The 21,058-nt window shown below is 34.9% G+C and overlaps 1 long non-coding RNA gene across 1 annotated transcript in view; it reads right to left on the bottom strand.

Moving 5' to 3' along the window:
• Window positions 1-10,476: 10,476 nt before the first annotated feature.
• Window positions 10,477-21,058, bottom strand: part of LINC02109 (long intergenic non-protein coding RNA 2109) — a 29,473-nt gene continuing 18,891 nt past the window's right edge. Inside the window, exons 5-9 of the long non-coding RNA NR_130777.1 lie at window positions 20,862-21,036; window positions 18,938-19,035; window positions 18,406-18,522; window positions 13,866-13,892; window positions 10,477-11,409 (exon numbers count right to left, since the gene is read on the bottom strand). This is a non-coding gene — a long non-coding RNA (long intergenic non-protein coding RNA 2109). The remainder of the gene's footprint in view (window positions 11,410-13,865; window positions 13,893-18,405; window positions 18,523-18,937; window positions 19,036-20,861; window positions 21,037-21,058) is intronic.

The raw sequence follows: 21,058 nt of genomic DNA, 5'->3' as shown, positions 1-21,058 counted from the left end.
AAATAATTAAGTCAATATTCTCTACTATGACAAAAGATCTGACTTCTCTACACCAGAAACTCACTAGCATGGAATTCTGGCTATGTCAAGGGAGAAACAAGTAATGATGCATCTACCTGTATTTCTTCTCAATAACTTTGAGTAATCCTAGAAAAGAAAAGATAGTATTCATTATTATTATTATGCATCCTTTTTTTTGCTATAAAATGAGGTCTTCAAAATACGGTTAGTGTTGATACAATGAGAATTTAAAGAACAGGTGTTTTCAGGAATCAATAGATACCTAGAGTTGTTTTGTTTGTTGTAATTTTCCATAATTTTTATCTTATTTGTACTTGTTTACAATTTTATTATTTCCAAAGTTTCACCACAAATCATTTTTCATTTAACCACTTTTTATGTCTTTGTTGATATGTAATTCTTTGGAACTAATTAACTTTTAAAATCCCCTATTCCTAATTGCAAACTCTATAGTAACATATCTACTTATATTTTGATATTGCCATAAATATGTAGTAAACACATTTCAAGGATTTGCATTCAACCACTAAAGTCATTTTATAGCTTTCATAATCCCAAGATGACAAAACAAATAAACAAATAACACATGTGTTGGGCCTTATATATATTTAGAAGGGATTACTATACTTAAAAAGTCATTTTTTAATAAATTGCCCTTTATCACAGGAAGAGGAAAATTGTTCTTATGGATATAATTTACCTCTTGAAGTAAAGATAGAACAATTATCAGATATTTAATTCTGAAAGAAAAATATTGATCTTCAAAACAAACAAAAAATTATAGAAAGTACACCGAAAAGACAGTTCACTAAGAACAAAGTAGGCAGTTTGAGAAATCTGAAAATCCAACAAATACAGGAAAGGATGATCATACTTTTGAGTAACTAGAGAAATACTCAATTTAAATTTATATACTATTTTATAAGAGCTTGTCAAAGTTTATAAAGGTAGATAATATCTAGCATCGGTGAAATTATGGTATAATGGAAAGCTTTATGTACCAAGAATAGTATAAAGTGGTATAAGCATTATGACAAGAAATTTAAAATAACTTAATTAAACTAAGTATTGTATACCCTATCATTCTTTGGTTACATTTCTATGAATATATCTCAGAAATTTCTTTATATATGTTTAAAAAGGAAACACATGGATATGTTAAGGATTGTAGTCAAAATTTAGAGGCCACTCTAAGTGTTCATTATTCTGCCAATAGGTACATATAATGTAGTCTTGTACTGTGGAATATTATGGAACAGTTAAAAACAATATGGGTAGAAATTAAGGACAACGTCAAATTTTAAAAATTTAACAATGGAATGGGATCTGTAATACATAGCGCTTATGCAATCAAATGTATAGCCAGAACAATCTGCATAATATAACATAATACACACATATCCACATATAGCACACGTCAAGCCTATGTTGAAGTAGGTGGTGGTGAAGGAAAGTGAAAAATGTCTTTAAATGAGAAAATGTAAAATAAAGTGGGGTCTTGCAAAAAGCAAGTAAGATAATATGTCACAACTCTTAGTACAATGAAGCTGATTTGAAAGCCTTGGTGGTCCTATTAATTTTTTCATGAGTCAATATGAATAAGAGAGATGGATAATCCTGGAAAGAATGGAGAATACTTCCTCACTTTATTATATCATGAAGTTTGGAGTCACAGGATAGAGAGAAGCTTGGGACCACTGTGGAAGTTGTGGGGTGGGGCTTGCTCTCTAATGACCCAGTATGTTTAAAAAGACCATTTTATTTCAAGTGGTATGTAATTTATATCTTTTTCCCTTCTAATATAAATCTGTTTTACGACATTTTCAGAATTGCAGTTGGTCACAATAGCATTTTAAAATTTCAAAACACATTTGGACACACTGGCTTTCATTTACTGAGAGACGTTTTGGTTTTCCCATTTTCACATTGCGTCATATATTCACAGATTACCTATTTTACTGGAAATTCTATGAAGACAGACTATTAAAAATTATGAATCAGAAGTTAAAAAATAGCCATATAGGGACTCAATCTAGCTTCTTTAAACGTATCCCTGTAAAATGGGAATTATGTTCCATAACTTGACTTTTATTCAAGTAATTGATTTTAAATTACATCTTAAAATGAACGTTTGTAGCTGCTTGGGGATATTCTAATCACTTACTCACATAGAATATTATAGATTTGGTGAAAATTACTATTATATTGTATGTGTATTAAACTTTACTTTTCAAATTATTACTCAGATCTACAGAAAAGATATACATGTACTAAAAAACCCACAATTGGATAATGTTACTTACCTTTAATAATTAATATTTCTTAACAATTCTCAATGTTTCTAAATATAGAACTGTCCTACTTTTGTTTGTTTAAATGCAATATAAATATTTGTTGTGTGATTTCACTTTTATTGATAATTTAGAAAAGTGTATCTTCAGACTATATTACATTAACTTATATTTAGAATTTCCATTTCTCTTATAACCTTTGCTAAATCTTTTGAAGAATAAAATGACTAGAGTATGCAAAGCTATTCCTGTGTTTTTACATTTTGCTCAATAAATTAAAAGAGTATATGGAATGGAAGATTTTAAGATTCGAAAGTTCTTTGTGTTATATAGAAAAAGAATTTAATTGCATTGAAATTTATCTTACATAATTCTATCTCAATAAAATAATTCACAATAGTTATTGTGTCTTAATAAAGACAAAATGTTAATGCATATTCAAATACAGTTTTAAAAGATAACATATTTCCATAAATGCATTCTAAAATGTGTAGCACTTTTATTTTAAAAGCAGTATGTTGTTTTGATCAGGTCTATTGTTGGTGAATTCAGTGGGAATTCAGAATACCACACCTGTTACGTCCTTTAATTACAAATAATGCCTACAGCTACTGCCTTATACTCTACCATCTTCATAGCCATAGGACTCTAAGAGTTGTTTTCATATAAAGCCAGTATTTTGCTACACTCCAGTCCATTTTGTTACACACCTTCTTACTTGGGATCTGCTACTATCACTCAACCAAAATTTCTCCTACAGTCACCATCAATTTCCATACCAAAGTGAAGGGCAACTTTTACATATTTCACTGTACCATACTTTACTAGATTTCATGGCAGCATTTATTTCTTTCATTAGTAATACATTTTTTATTTCTTGTATGATATAGCTCCTCATGCACTTTCTCTTTTCTCCTTCTGCCAATTCTTTCTTCTCTCTCTCTCTCTACCCCTCCCCCTTCTTGTTTCTTCTTTCTTGGTGTCCTTTTCCACTTGCTCCCTCTTTAATAGTCATGTAGTTTTGGAGTAACTTAGGACTCAAGCTGGAGCCCTTTTTGCTCCCAGTCTTTCCATAGTTGCACAATGCAGTTCTGTAATTAAATTTCAAGTGCTTGATAGTTATGAAATGTAATATACGTGTGTGTGAAATATATAGTGTTTTCATTCTTTATTATTATTATTTTTTATTTTTAGAAATGAGGTCTCACTTCCCTGGGCTGGAGTGCAGTTGCATGATTATAGCTCACTGAAGCCTCAAACTCCTGGGCTCACGTATCCCTCCTGCCTCAGCCTCCCAAATAACTGGGACTACAGGTGCACACCACCGTGCCTGGCTACTTTATTTTTATTTTTTATTGTTAGTAGAGACAGGGTTTGCTTTGTTGTCCAAGCTGGTCTCAGACTCCTGGCTTCAAGCGATTCTCCTGTCTTGGCCTCTCAAAGCGTTGGGATTACAGGCATGAGGCACAGTTCCCAGTCATAAAATTTAGTTTTTAAATAGACAATTTTACTTTTTAACTCTGGTTTCAAAGAGTAACACTATGGAAAGAATAGCAACTTCCTTCCAGCACTTTATCACAACCTTGTCTCTTGATGTTTGACAAGAGACATTTCTTGTCTCCTGATATATCTTTGAGGTCTCACAAAGCTCTCTAATGTACCCTTTCAAAAACTGAATTATATATTTGTTTCTTTTTATCCCCTTGTTTTTTACCTTGTTTTTTAGGAAGATCTTCTTCTTCTTTGCTGGAATTAGTGTTCTCAGGAGTCTATCTTGTTTTACTTTTTCTTTTCTTACAGACTGTGACTTATAATCTGCTTACGACACATAATGACTAAATTATCCATTCAGCCTTATATTCAGCAGTTTGTACTTTTTTCACCATAGTAATTGCATCACTTGTCATCTAAATACACACACATTCATTTAATAAAATACACACATACATGTATCTATTTATAATGTCTTCAAAAGAACTGTAACATAAGAATTGCAACTGATTTATTTATTATTTTTACCTCCATTTCTTACATCGTATGTGACATACATTTCAATATCATTATACACTTGGAAATAGATGAATTGCAGGATTTAAACTCTTGAAGACAAGGGTTTTCCTTTTTTTGGCTAACTCTGAACTGAGTTTTTTTCCACATTTTATTTTCTTCAGAATTCATAATATTCTAATTTGTTTGTAATAATTTCTATACATTATTTCTCACCTATATGTTATGTTCTGTATATTATGTTTTTAAAACTTTGCATACAGAACATAACAGATAGAAAATATTAAATATAAATGTTTTGAATTAATGAATAAAAGACTATAGTAAACATGTTATCATCACTGAAAAATAAATGCATCTGTCTTACAATGTTTTGAAGGACATTTCATTATCTGCCTACACATTAAGAATGTCACCTATTCATATAATAAAAGATAATTTTCCTAATAAACCATAATTTTCTGTTACTTTAATATGTATTTTTATGGGAAATATTTCCAGATAATTCCTTAGACATATAAATGATCTTTACGATAAACTAAAGCATTATAATTTTGAATTGTGCAAATAATTCCATTCAAATTATAACTAAGCACATTTCTGGAACATGTTTCTGTCACTAGGACTGTGTTTTTAATAAAGGATAGAACTTTAATTTTGAAGAAAATCTCTCCCCGTGCTTATCTTGCATCTGAATCAGCCTATTTAACAGCATGAACTTTCTCGAGAATAAGATTTATTGTACTTTAGAAAGAAAAATGCATGCCTGTATTTCACTGACACCAAAACTCAGGAGCTAAGCATATTAGTGTTTTCCCTAAGCTCTGAACACTTGTGTAAGTTTGCTAAAAGAGAATCTCTTCCATATTTTGTTTTATCCCATTTACATACAGTGCTAACATTTCATCTCATCATTTTCTTTCCACTTGCTCCAGACAATAAAAAAGGGTTATCCTTAGCCCATTGCACTATTGTGATTCCTGTTGTCCAAACTATATTATATTTCACTTCTTTCTCAAGGCGAGGCAAGGAAGGCGAAAAGGGTATGCAAACAGTGAGTAGAGGCTTGTCTATGATATTGAAAGAATAAGTACACAATAGCCAACTTAATTTTAAATACATATATCCATAAATGTATTTTAATAGTTACGTATTAAACATTTTGATAAAATAAATGTGTTGATTATCCAATTCACTGAAATTGTCAATTGACATAAAAATGGTTAACTTTATAAAGCAGGCAGCAGGTAGCATTTTATTTGATGAAATAATAGCTATATTTTTAAAAAGTTCTTTGACATTGATATTGATTTTCATTTTGTGTTCCTGACTTATTGTAGGCAATGTTTAACTGAGGAAACCTATGTGTGTGTGTGTGTGTGTGTGTGTGTGTGTGTATGTACACATATATATGTGTATATATATATATAACTTGTTCTAATAAACTTAGATTTTATTTGGATATTAACAATTTTCATGTTTTACTTTGTTCATATATGTTATGTGATTTGATCTTCACCATACTCCTAGAGGTTCAAGACATTTACTTTTACTGCTACCTTAAATCACACAAAGCTAAACCTGAGATCAAAATTTAGCTAAAAACATCTACAAACACGATGGAAAAGGTGCAATAGTTCAATTATTATTGAACTGTCCCACAGAGAATTGCCTGTGTTTCAAAGGTTTACCCTAGCTTTCGTTGGCATTGGCTGACATACAACACATTCCCTTGCTTGGATACAGTACAGTTCTATGGAATTATAAATGTTTATCAAACAATTTTTATATTCTGTTACTGGTTTGATACTGTGTAAACTGCATGTCTTTAAAGTCTCTTAAAAGACATTGTTTTGAAATTCTGATAATTTATAGATATTGTACATAGGGTCCAAAATATTTTTATATATACCCTGCCTTATATCTATTCATAGGCCTGTGAGAAGACTTGGTGCCTATCCTTTAATCTCCCATTCTCTTTATCCTATCCTTCTTTAATCTTCTCTCCTTCTTTAATCTCCCATTGCCCAATATACAACGAGGAGAGAGCAAGACTTTTTATTTCACTCCACAACCAAGCCAAAAAAAAAATAATGATATTAAAAACATTGGTTAGACCTTGTTTTTTAGGAAGATCTTCTTCTTTGCTGGAATAAGCATTCTCAGGAGTCTATCTTGTAATGAAGACATTGGCCCTTTTTTTTCTTTTCCTTTAGGTCAGGCAATATAGAAATGACATAGCTGTGAGAAAAAAGAATATTCCAGCTTTCCTTATTGATTCCTGCCAAGTAACAAAGCAATTTGCTCTAAACATGTGGGCACATATTTCCGTGATCCAGTGCCTCTGGCCCGTCTACATGATTGGGACACCTGGACCAGAATTACTTACATTGTAGTACAAATAAAAAATAGTATTTATATGGTTCAGACTAGTTTTCTAGGGCCTACAATTGGACATGGTGGCAATCCTTGTATCACTATAGAATTTTTTTTTGTAGAAATTTCTTTTTAAGACTTTCTTTCTCATTATTTCATGAGGAGTACTGGTTTAAAAGAACACTCTGTTTTTAAAAAATACGGTCCCTTTGTGAAAAGACATAACATTATCTGGTTTCCTGTATTTACTGTTCACTATCTAACCCAGACCCCAAGAATCATAAATCCTTTAATTCTGTTATTTCACTGTTCTTTATCCTCTAAAGTCTTTGCCCCCTTTTTTACCCAGTTGAAATCCATGATCACACACTTGATTCCCATGGTCTCTCTTGTTTCTTTTTACTTGAATGACAAAACCACACTCTGATTAAATCTAACTCTCCAGCTGTTTTTTATCTGCACCCATGGGGTTTGACATGAATGGAGAAAAATACACAACCAGATTGACAGGTTTCACTGAAGATTTTTGACGTGAACTTCAAGTGGAAACTTAATGCATTTTAGCAACCATACTAAATATCCTTAGCACATTAAATCTTAATTATTAGCCGTCCTTTCCTCTCTCCAAACCTCCATGCTTCCTATTCCTAAGTTGCAGCTGATGAAATTGTGGCTTCCACCACCAAAAGCAAACTTACAGATTCCAGTCACTAAATCTATGCATGTATGGTATCTATACCACATCCTCTAACTGCTCCTTAATCACTGTAGAGCAGGGTGTTAAACTGAATGCCAGTATCCCCCATATTGGCTCCCACCATTGTGGGGACTGGCAAGTGTGAATGCTGAAGAGCAGCAGGCTGGAGATCAGGGGAGAGTTGATGCTGGAGTCTTCAGTCTGAAGGCCAATCTAAAGTCAGAATTATTTTCCCTTAGTGGAACCTCAGTGATTTTTTCTCTTAAGGCCTTCAGCTGATTGGAGAAGGTCCACCCCACTTACGGAGGGTAATCTGCTTTAATACAAATTTACTGATTTAAATATTAACCACGCCTAAAACATACCTTAACAACAGCCTCTAGACTGGTATTTGACCAAGCAACTGTGGACAATACACTCACCAAGTTGATACATAAAATTAACAATCCCATCAGGTCATTGTCATCAGCATAATAATGAACTGAAATTTCTCTCATTTAAAAATGTAATTTATCTTGACCTGATCCTATTTCCTTTACTAAGTACCAATCTACTTCTCTGTTTCCCTTTTCAGTAAACCTCCCTGAAAGAGTTGTGTAGATACACTATTCCCAAATTTCCTTTACATATCCTATCATGAAGCTACACTGATCATACAGTTATCCCCACTCTAGCAAAAGTGCTCTTGGTGTAATCATTGACCTCTACCTTGCTAAATCTAATATTTGATTTTACACTGCCCATCAGAACCATATAATGCAGCCCACCTTTATCTCCTTCTTGATACACTTTTCTCATTTTGCCTCCAGGATATTACTCTTCTTCTTTGCTTTCCTAACTCTTGTCTTCTTTCTTTTTCTTCTTTTATATCTTACACAATAATATTGACTTCCAAGAGCCAATCCTCAAATCTCTCCTCTACTTCTCCACTGCAGTGGTTATCTCATTGGTTATCTCATTCAATCAAATGGCTTATGTGCCAATGAATTCCAAATACCATCTCCAATACGGACCTCTCTCTTGAAAATACAGATTAATCAAACTACTTACTCAACTTCTCAACTAGAGTGTCTTATAGACATTTCAAATTCCACATATCTAATACTGAATCCTTCCTATCTCTCCCAAAATCTACTTCACCTACCACCTTTTCCAATTCAGTTGATGACAATTTCAGCTTTTCATGCCTTCAGACACAAATGGCATGTGATGTTATACTTAAGTATATTTTTCCTTCACATCAGACACTCAGAAACATTTCTGTCTCTGCCTTTAAAATGTAAACAGACTCTGACTACTTCTAACTATCTCATTGATATCTCACTACTCATCATTCTAACCCAAGCCTCTATCATTACTAGTCTAGACTTCTGCAGTGGCTTCCTCACTGTCTCTGTGCTCTATCTTTGCCCCCATGCTGTCTATTTGTAGCAGAGCAGCTGGAGTGATTCTTTAATCATATGTGAAATCATGTCACTTATCTGCTCAAAATCCTGCTTATAGGTTTCCATGTAACTAAAAGTAACAACACAATATCCTTACATTGGTACAAGTCCCTCTGTGTGGTTGGGCCTCTAATTCTTCTCTAACCTCATCTTCTGCTCTCCCGATAACTCATGGCCTTCATATCACAGAGGGCACGGAGGGAGGAGTATTTCTTGAAATTCCTGGAACATGCCAGCCACACTTTCACTTTACGGCATTTGTACTGGTTGTCTCCCCAGATATCTTTATAACAAATGCTTTTACCTCTACTCACTAGCTCACATGTGCTCTTCTTACTGAGGCCTACCACAGTCTCACTTTTAAAATCATAATCCATACTTCCAATGCCTATACATAACATAATCTTGCTATGATTGTATTTTGCCAAAGTGCTTTTTTCCTGTGTGTGTCTCAAGATCTCTTTTAGGAGATTAGCTATCAACTCTGGCCATGCCCTGATGGGGCTCCAGAGGATTTGTATTTGGTTGTACCTATGACAATGTGCCTTTCACAGAATGCTTCTTTATCCCTGTATACATTCTAATATTTAAGTATCCAATTTGTGATCACTGGTCCCTTTCACAGGAAACTCATTTATATGGGCAGACATTTTCGTGGTTCTTGTCTGACTTGTGTCCAGTTTATTTCTACCATAGCCACTCTCTAGGAGCACTCTGACTAGGAAAGAAGATAGGTTTTGGTGTGTTGCTCAGGTGAGCCACAGAGGAGGCAACTCAAGAAAACACATGAAATAACAGAAGCAGTTTATTACTTACAGATCCAGAGAAAAAAGGGCAAGTCTTGCAGGGACAATAGGAAATGGGAAGCCATATAGCACACACATTCAACCATCAGGTAGAGAGTAAGAAAGGCAGAAAGACCTGTGAGTTGAAGCCTTTTTTGGGGGCTAAGGGCATTATCTAAGCAGGTTTCCAAGGGAAGTTTTAATTGGTGGGTGATATAGTTTGTCACTGTCCCTACCCAAATATCATTTTTTCTTTTTTTTCTTTTTTTTCAGATGGAGTCTTGCTCTGTCACCCAGGCTGGAGTACAGTGGCACCATTTGGCTCACTGCAACTTCTCCCTCCCGGATTCAAGCGATTCTCCTGCCTCAGCCGCCGAAGTAGCTGGAATTACAAGCGTCCACCAACAAACCTGGCTAATTTTTGTATTTTTAGTAGAGATGGGTTTTTGCCATGTTGGCCAGGCTGGTCTTGAACTCCTGACCTCAGAAGATCCGTCTGCCTTGGCCTTTCAAAGCGCTGGGGTTACAGCCGTGAGCCACCATGCTCGGCCTTACAAATATCATCTTGAATTGTAGTTCCCCTAATCCTCACACATAGTGGGAGGGACCCAGTGAGAGGTAATTGAATCATGGCAGCCTTTCCCCCCCATGCTATTCCCCTGATGGTGAGTTCATTCTCAGGAGATCTGATGGTTTTAAGGGGCCTCCTTCTTCACTCAGTTCTCATTCTTCTCTCTCCTCCCACCATGTAAAGACGGATGTGTTTGCTTCCCCTTCCGCCATGATTGTAAGTTTCCCGAGGCCTCCCCAGCCATGCAAAACTGTGAGTCAATTAAACCTCTTTTCTGTATAAATTAGGCAGTTTCAGGTACGTTTTTATTAGCAGCGTGAGAATGGACTAATACAGTGGGCTTATAGCAAGCAGGAACAAGTCCAATAGTCACACTGTAACTGAGCAGGGGCCACTGCAGCATCTACACAGTCCACGAGAGGTGAGAAGGCCAGAGGGGTAGGTTGTATCTGCTGTCTCACAGGGAGGTGGTCACCAGGAGACAGTTGTATACGGCAGATATCGGAGGCGACCACATATAGGACTTTGGAGGAAGTGAAAACTCCTTTGAGGGTCACTAAGCCAAGCTTCTGGTATGTGCAAGTTAAACCTATTTTCAAAATGGATGCTGAGGTAACATACAATTTATAAGAATTGGCTAAATATTATACTTACTTAGTGTAACAATGGTGGAGTGTATGTCTCCCACTGATAGAATGCAAGCTCCACAAAGGTAAAGAAAGTGGTCTTTTTTCTATAAAAAATGGTATGTTCACTGAAGTATTTCAAACATCTGGAACAGGTTCTAGTATAGATACTCAACAAATATTTGTTGAATTATGTTGAGCTGCATAGCTCATTATCTCTTCCCATGAAGCTGTTTAGAACAAATTTTCCAGTTTTTTTTTTTTTTTTTTTTTTGAGACGAAGTTTTGCTCTGTCGCCCAGGCTGGAGTGCAGTGGCGCGATCTTGGCTCACTGCAAGCTCCGCCTCCCAGGTTCGCGCCATTCTCCCGCCTCAGCCTCCCGGGTAGCTGGGACTATAGGCGCCCGCCACCGCGCCTGTGTAATTTTTTGTATTTTTAGTAGAGACGGGGTTTCACCGTGTTAGCCAAGATGGTCTCCATCTCCTGACCTCGTGATCCGCCCACCTCGGCCTCCCAAAGTGCTGGGATTACAAGTGTGAGCCACCACGCCCAGCCGCAGTTTTTGTTATTTAAGGAAGAGTGTAGTATTCCTTGAGAGATAGAAAACAAATGAAAATTACAGCTGAATTTGGCTTTAACACTTCACTGTTTTATGAGATGAACGAGATGCATTCACCTCATTATTGTACAATGGTTACTTTTAAGCCATTCTGTCCCATTTTTCAATATTGCTATCTTAAAATCAGATTAGATTTGCCTAGAATGAAAATAATTAAGCTTATATCAAAATAACTGTTAACAGAAATGCCGTCTTTGCCCCTGCCCCCCCATCCCCCAACACAGACACACCTTTGAACTTTCGAGAAATGCTGGCTTATTTTTATCTGTAGGTATTCAGGTTTAATAGGGTATAATTCTTAATTAATTAATTCTTTATCTCTCTATTGCTTCTCTCCTGCTGCTTCTTGTTCTTTTTCTCATTTCATTTATAAATAATAGGTACATACATTGTTTTTTTTCTAGAGAAAAACTCTTAATTCTTCCATCCTTGGAAATTTATCTGATTACAAAAAGGTTTAGGAGACCATTTTGGCAATACATAACAGTGGTTCAAATCCCAGATCTGACAAAAATTAACCACTAGGGAATGCAAAATGATTGTGCTGTTCTTCGGTTTCCTCGTGTGTCAAATTAAGAAAATAAGAGTATTTTAGAGTTATCTAGAAATTAAATTATTTTACACATTTGTAGTTTATAAAATTGTGGATTGCAAACACTAAAAAGTCAATATTAGCTCTCCACTTCTTATATTTATAATCCCAAGGGATGTTAATAAAAGTTCTCAGTACATGGACAATGTGTTTAAGCTATTATTAGGACAATTAGAACCGAATAAAACACTTAGAAAACCTATTTTCTTCTGCATTTGTTCATATAGAATGACTGTTTTATTAGATAGTTAAGGCCATCTGTTGGATTATCATGTGTGACCAGTTAGAAGTTTATATTAATACTGAAAACATTTCTATTTTTAAAAAATCCTCCACTTTTTGTTCAATATTTTAAGTTATATATTTAATTTTTCCATGGGAAAAATATAAACTTTATAATCTTGTGAAAATTGTCAGAATCAAAATGGAATTACTAATGTTAAAAAAAAAAATCCCCCACAAATAGAGCCAGGAAAGGCAGTGAGGAGAAAGTCCTCATGTTTGTATGCGTAATAACAAAAAGTATCACAGTAACCTCTGCAAAAACCACACCCTTGTACAAAGACCATCACAACCTTACACAAAATACTTCTGCAGAGATATCTGCCCAGCAATTGCCTGTCCAAACTCAGACTGGCATCACCCTTGTGACCTTTGTAGGCAGGGATAATGCTTTCAAAACAATTATGTAATTCTCCTCATTCTTTTTCCTTTAGAAACCACAGTTTTTCTTTACATCTCTAAATATCCACATGGTTTAATATGGCATGAGTATTCTCATTGCAATGCTCTATTCCCAAATAAATATATGTTTTTCTTTTAGAAAGCCAATGTTTGTTGTTTAGATGGTCAATCTTTTTATGATCTTTTCCTGATCCTTGTTTTTACTTTTCTTTAGATTTTTTTGTTGTTGTTGTTTTTATGAACTTAGACTTTCAAAGTTATCCTATGTGACCTTGAAAATTGAAAATGTTTCTTTAGGTTTTCTTTTACTATCATTATTTTTTTAAAGAAAGTGCTCCGTGAAAAAGGGCAAGTTTGATAACATCCTATATTTTGAATTTGTTGAGAGTTCATCAGAGACACAACATCTTATGGGGAATTACCTCCCCACCAAGATCAGAGTACATACTCAGTTTCAATTGCTGCATTTCGTCTTTCAATTTAAAGGGGGCTAAATATCATCTAAAAATACTCAAGCACTTGGAAAGACTTTTTAACTAAGCTTCATTCCATATGCATGGCAGCTAGCTTGTTATAGGATTCCTTTCCAACTTGTCTGTGTGCTGTCCAGCAGGAAGGAGCATTCCCAAATATGTTGGCACTTGCTTCCTAGTTGCAGCAAGCAGGGAATTAACATCTGCAAAGAGGAGATTACACTCATGCATCATATTGAGATTTTTCACACTCTTCTGTTACTCCTTCAAAAGTAACTCCCTTGTGACATATTCCATGACGGAGCTAACAAATCTGCAGGCAGCAGACAACCTTGAAAAGTAATTAATGATAATATCTTTTCCTCACCACTATGCTTGCCTTTTTTTTTTTTTTTTAGCTCTTGACTAAATCCCTCATGTAATATTTTTTTAAAAGTTAGAAGTTTCCTTGCATAGTATTCCATAAACCACCTCATTCTTTATTATTAATTCCAAAACACCCTCAGCTGAACAAAGGTATATTATTCTGTCAAATGAGAAAGTGTTTGTGTGTATCAAGATACAAAGTAAGACTACATTATTAGAGTATAAATGGCATTTTCACTTGAGTGTTTCCTTTCATAATATATGATTTTATGTATCTTGTAATACTTTTTAAATTGCTCTGTGATTCCTCACCTGTTTATCCTGGGGATGCTGTTTTACCTGAGAGAGAGAGAAAGAGAACGAGAGAGAGAGGGAACATGAGAGAGAGAGAAAACAAATTGGTATCAAGATAACCTGATAATTGACTGATTACTTCGATTATTTCAATGATTCTGTATTATGCAGAAACTGCATCTTGGAAGCATTTATCATATTGGTAGAAAATAAGCAAACTCTTTCCTCTACACATATCAGAAAGGTGTTGTAAATTCTTATTTTTATAGGTAAAATGCTTTTTGTTAGGGCCAAAAGTTCAAATTCTCAGATTATTATAAGTGGGTGAGTGAGCTAGACTTATCTCTGAAATGTATATTATGTGAAATTGGTATAATTCTATTTGCCTGACATAAACATGTTAAAGTTCATTTTGAATATCAAAGAAAAATGGATTATAAATATCTTCTTACATTATTATATAGCCAATGTTCACTCAGTGTCTATTACGTGCCATCCACTATGCAAAGCATTTTTTATATATTATCTCATTCAATTTTTAAACCAACCTTAGAAAGTGAGTGCCATAATTATTTTCCTTTTTCAGTGGAAGAAACTGAAGCTCAGAGAGGTTAAATACATTTCCCAAAGCCATAAACAAAGTAGAGCCTGGAGTCAGTGCCAGAAAATTTACTAAAATTCCAGCACCTACTATAATTGTCATATTTCTTTAAGTCTTTTTATTTTCAAGCAATAGTAATAACCATAAAAAGGCACCTAAAGTAATTTCCCACATAGATAAAAATGTTGCAAATTCTTAATATTCTTTTCTCAGTGGAATCTTTTTAAGTCCCTTATTGTCCTACTATGTAGATATGCTGGGGATTTTTAAGTTGTTCTACTTATGTGTCTTTGTTTTTGTTAATCAATATAATTAAAATATACTATTCTATAAATGAGGGGAAAAGTCAATAAAGATATCCAAATTATTTATTTTTAAATTCATTTTATATAGAGATTACCTGTAGGTTTATGATTGTACAAACTAGTAATTTAATCAAGTCTATTAAAATTTACATTAAAATTATATAACAAACTATCAATCTCTATTTCATAAAAGAAAAGCCCTTCAACTATGAAAAAAATGACGGATATATTTAGTCTTTCTGCATTCTTTGTATGAAAATGAACTTGCAGTAAACAAATTAAAAATAAAATTTGATGCTGGGAATTAAATTTATATTACTGTCTCCTGATGTAGATTCGAACTATAATCATGAATTAAAATATTCAGATCCAGTAATTTTTACCCCATAATCTGGCAATCCATTAAAACTGCCACATAAGGTCAGGCGCAGTGGCTCACTCCTGTAATCCCAGCACTTTGGGAACCGAGGCGGGTGGATCAACTGAGGTCGGGAGTTTGAGACCAGCCTGACCAACATGGAGAAATCCCATCACTAGTAAAAATACAAAATTAGCCAGGCGTGGTGGCGGGCGCCTGTAGTCCCAGCTACTCTGGAGGCTGAGGCAGGAGAATGGCGTGAACCTGGGAGGTGGAGCTTGCAGTGAGCTGAGATTGCAACTCTGGACTCTAGCCTGGGTGACAGAGCGAAACTCCATCTAAAAAAAAAAAAAAAAAAACCTGCCACATAAATTGCAGTTTCAATGCTAATTTCTTTACGTCATAACGGTGTGCGCTCAATTCTTAGGTCTTCTGCTGTCTCATAGAAAAGCACAACATACCATTTATCAGGTAAGGTTAATGGAAAATTGATTCACAAGTTGTATTAGTCTGCTCAGACTGCCATAACAAAATCACACAAACTTGGTGTAATAAATCACATAAATTTATTTTATCCGAGTTCTGAGGCTGGAATTCCAGGATCAAGGTGCCAGCAGGGTTGGTTTCTGGTGAGGCCCCACTCCTCTGCTCGCAGATGGTGGCTTTCTCCCTGTGTGTTTGTATGGCCTTTCCTCTGTGCTGCAGCAGAGAGAGTGAGCTCTGGTGCCTCTCCCTCATTTTAAAAGGACATCAGTCACATTGGATTAGGGCCCCAATTTTTTTGTTTGTTTGTTTTGTTTTTTTGACACAGAGTCTCACTCTATCACCCAAGCTGGAGTGCAGTGGCTCAATCTCGGCTCACTGCAACCTCCGACACCCGGGTTTAAGCCATCCTCCTACCTCAGCCTCCTGAGTAGCTGGGATTACAGGAGTGTGCCACCACGCCTAGCTAGTTCTCGTATTTTTAGTAGAGACTGAGTTTCACCATGTTGGCGAGGCTGGCCTTGAACTGTTGAACTGAGGTGATCTGCCTGCCTTTGCCTCCCAAAGTGCTGAGCCACCTTTTTCACATAATTTAACATTAATTACCTCCTTAAGGGTCCTGTCTCCACATATTCTCACATTGAGCATTAGGGCATCCGCAGATGCATTTTTGAGAGAAATTATTCAGTCCAAAACACTAGTAAAACATCAAGATCAACAATCTAAATGGGATTGATGTCTTTCATTTAGGAAATGAAAATCAACTAAAATATATCTAATTTCATACTTACGTAACATATTGAACCACAAAAATTTGGATCCTGTTTACAGACCTCATAAATGAAAACAATTATGTGACATCCCAAATATCTACCTGAAAGTTTGACAGTATGACCATAGAGTCAATGACCACACACAAATAACAAAGTGGTTTTCATTTGGCAAATGCAAGTCTTACATTTTGTATTCCTTTCAAAGTCAGAGGTGACTTGCTTCTTTGAACTAACCTAATATTGAAAGTTTAAGTTCCAAGGCAAAATTTTTTTCTGCAATATTATGCCAAGAGGCATATCAATCTGAGAGTCTTTATTCAATATACAAAATAAGAGTTATCAATCTTAAGATATTGCCAACATTCATTTAAACTCTTAAAATATTTCCCTACCCACAACACACATACTTTCAGGCACGGGGTTGGGGAAGATCACAGATTATTTTGAGCACATTTTGATACCTGCTTCGATGAAGTGCAGAGTAAACTTCTGATTTTAATTAGAACATTGAGTAGGGCATAAATTATTTGTCATTGTTAAAACCATTGATACAATAAAATGGTTTAAGTAGTAGATTTTAAAAATTAATTTGGTGGCAATATTATGCTGCAAGCTGTCACAATTTCAAAAGTAATTCCTCACAGGAAACTTAAAAGCAATGTATTGTTTTTTCAATAAGCCAAATTTAAGTCAAAAATTTTCAATGTCATTTGTTTTCTAAGAAAGCAAATAATGGCTTATAAAGCTTTGGAAATTATCAGGTCTGTTATAATATATAGGTCTTTTCTATTGTGCAAAATGAGACCACTGAATGTATACCAATCATAAATCTCTTGATGTTCAGCAAACATTCTGTAAAGTGTCTATTGCAGGCTATGTAAACCTCTAGGCTGCAAAGATTCAGAGAGAAACAAGATTTACTGCCTTCAAGTTGTTTGCATTTGAGCAAATTCTAATAGCTCTAGAGATTTTCTAAGCAGATCATGATAGAGAAAAGGGGTGAGGGAAGTTTAATGCCATGGCCTGAATTTCTAGCATTGATGTCCCTTAAAAATTCATGTGTGTTGGGTTTAATGCCTGGGTGGGTTGTTGTTATTGCTGTGTTATATGTCTGCTGGGAGTCAGGGGATGCTTGATTTTTGGCAGGCTTTCAAAACGGTGCACATTGAGTTGTCTAATATATTTAATATATACCAGGAGGGAGAAGCAGGTTGGTACTGCATGTGAGTATGAATATGGAACTTAGAGATGAAGTATAGATAGAGTTTTGGGAAAAGGTAACATTTAGGTAGATGAGTGTGTATGAACATGAATGTTGTATCACATGAGAAGTGATGAACAAAAGCCAGAGTCAAGCAAAATTTCAGAGACAGAAAAATAGTTGGCTAACCCAACACCCATTCCCAAATAATTCCTCCCTTATCAACTTCACTCCAGAAATTGGAGAAGCCAAATACCTGTGCCTACTCTCCAGTGTTACTAGAAATGACCACTGAAATAATTTATATTAGAGAAGACTAGAGAAGAACTCCGCTGGGAATCTCCAACCAAAATTTTTTTTTTTTTTTTGAGATGGAGTCTAGCTCTGTTGCCCAGGCTCGAGTGCAGTGGCGCCATCTCGGCTCACTGCAAGCTCCCCCTCCTGGGTTCATGCCATTCTCCTGCCTCAGCCTCCGGAGTAGCTGGGACTACAGGCGCCCGCCACCACGCCCGGCTAATTTTTTTGTATTTTTAGTAGAAACAGGGTTTCACCATGTTAGCCAGAATGGTCTGGATCTCCTGACCTCGTGATCCCCCCGCCTAGGCCTCCCAAAGTGCTGGGTTTACAGGCGTGAGCCACCGCGCCCGGCCTCAACGAAAACTTTTACTCTCCTTTCCAAGGGAGTGATTTTTCTGCCATCTTTTTCTCTCTTCTTTGTTGAATATGATTACGATGACTGAAGTCACAGGATAGATCTTATAGAAAAGGCCACAGAAATCTCAAGCAATGTTGTCCCTTTTACTCTGAATTACTCACCAAACAGTAGCAGCCACATACCTCCAGATATTATATTATCTTGAGATAACACTTCTGTTTAAGTCGCTAAGTGAAATTCTCACCTCTTGAAGATGGCTGCATGCTATTACGGAGAAGTAGTTCATGAAACAAAGACAACTGCAAGAGACACAGTCAAGATGTTAATAGCTATCTCCAACTTTATACCAATAAGTCAAGGGAAAGCAACTCTAAAATGGTAACATAAATCAAGAACGAAACATGATTTAATTTGTAAAGATTTGATTTATATTTTAAAATTTAGAAAATGTGCACAAATAGACCTAAATTTATGACAGATACCTCTTTTGTTAAATGATGCTTTCCAACTGCTTTAAAAATTAGTTTTAAGTTCATTTTGCACAGATCTGGATTAAATAAGACATTTCAATGAGCAGATTATTTATAAGATTAAAAGCTGTTTGTTCTATTTTTCTCCCAAATTAGAAATAACCCCTTTAAATTTCTGTAGTAGCACGTGCTCAATAGAAAAAGCCAGCTATTACTACTAAGTAAAATACAATGGCAAAAGTACCTGGCACTCCCAATACCAAAAGAACGCTTTTCACGTATTGATACTTCAGTTTCCAGATTTGTTTCTTTTGGTTTAGTCACAATTGGGTACATACCAACCTATAGTGACACAAACATGGTATATAGAAATAAATGGATTATAGGAATAATAGTATTTTGTAGAGAAATATTTTTGTTACATAGTTCAGAGAGTAATATATTAGTTATATAGTTACTTTTTCAGTTACTCCTTGTTTTTTAAATACGACTTTTTTTTTTTTTTAAGACTGGAAGTCTCTCTCTGTCTCTCCCAGGCTGGAGTGCAGGGGCGCGATCTCGGCTCACTCCAACCTTCGCCTACCAGGTTCAAGTGATTGTCTTGCTTCAGCCTCCCGAGTAGCTGGGACTATAGGCGCATGCCACCACACCCAGCTAATTTTTTGTATTTTTTGTACAGACGGGGTTTCACCGTGTTACTCAGGATGGTCTCAATCTCCTGACCTTGTGATCTGCCGGCCTTGGCCTCCCAAAGTGCTGGGATTAAGGCGTGAGCCACCGTGCCCTGCCAATATGCCTTATTTCTAATAGTATATTTCAGAAATAAGTCTTTGTTTTTTGGATTGTATTATTGAAGGAGAGTTTATATTCCAAAGTACATTTGCTGTAAATTTGATAACTTTAAATTAGATAAACAAAAAGGCATAGTTTGTACACCTAAAAATGTTTGAGAATACTATCCCCAATATTAAGGCAACTATGAATAGATTAATTTTCCTTTGGGGACAAATACTACAACCTCTAACTGAATAAAAATTGTGATTTTTTATTGTTTTTCTTTATTATGCTTGCAATTGACTTAATTAAATACACACTTATCATACTAGTTGAATTATTTCAATTAATTTTATTTCATGATTATTCAAGATAGTATGGTTTATTAACATGACACAAACAATGTAGAGTTTTGAAACTTCATTTGAAGTATGCTAAGTAATATGAATAAAACATGTGGTTGATCTATGTATTTTATAGTTTGTCTTTAGTTTTTCTTAAATTGGGAATCATGTAGTGTACATTTTTAATATGTGTACACTTCTGTATTTCTCAATTTAATATGGTCACAGAACAATAAATTTGGATCCAAATTGTCAGTCCTTATTAAATGCCCCATTTGGTAGAGACATCTTAATTTGAAAGAGTAACATTTACTATTCAACTAACATGAAGACTTTACCCTGCCAAGAGATGAAATCTATATTTTTATCGCTTTAATTTTTGACAACTGTTGATGTTGTTTATTTTAAAAATTATATATTTCATTAACATGCTCCAAAACATGGACTTTTGCATTTTTTTGATGGTAGAGACAAGTATTTTTGGTTTAACCAAAATGAGTAAATTAAAATCATTATTCAGTTATTTTAATCAGTTTAGCAATTGTGACATCAACTTCTCTATCCATTTTAATGTGTCTTTGCTCACAATCTGAGCTAATAAAATGGTGACAAAAAGTTCTACCACAAAAGAGTAGAAAGAGTTGGTGAGTAAAGAGAAAGATTTGTCTATAAAGAAATACATGGTTTTAAATTTAGGACTTGTCTTATTAAATACTATCAGAAATAAAATATCACATTAATATTTTTAGAACCATCCCACTACAAATAACCATTTGATTTCATGGTGATTACTAGATAAATAGTTTATGAAAAATAAGCACATAAGCTAGAATATTGTAATGAAAAATAGTTAATTTCAAATATATACTTTTCTATGCATAGCACTTAGCAGATTGATAAAAATAAGAGTAGGCAAACATCTATAAACAATCAAATTACAAGGGTATTTAACTAAGCAAACAAATCAATCAGTCAAATTAGGACATCTGGTCACCTTTGCTTAGAAACAATTTTGTATAGTTAATACCATCCCAATATTAATGCACTTAACTTAAGCTGCAAGTCCATTTACTGTCAAAATAATTCCTTTTGTCCTAGCTGTGGTGCTGGATAAGTGTTTCTTTGCCCTCTGTGCTGCTGTGTTTACAGAGAGTATGTTGACATATCAGGCTTCAATTCACCAAACGCAAGGCATCTTAAAGCATGCAATAGGACTTTAGCAATCCTAGGTAGAAACAAATATTCTC

Source organism: Homo sapiens, chromosome 5, assembly GCF_000001405.40.
Source record: "Homo sapiens chromosome 5, GRCh38.p14 Primary Assembly".
Taxonomy (NCBI): Eukaryota; Metazoa; Chordata; class Mammalia; order Primates; family Hominidae; genus Homo; species Homo sapiens.
Note: the sequence above shows the minus strand (reverse complement) of the source record. Positions and strands in the feature narration are given on the sequence as shown.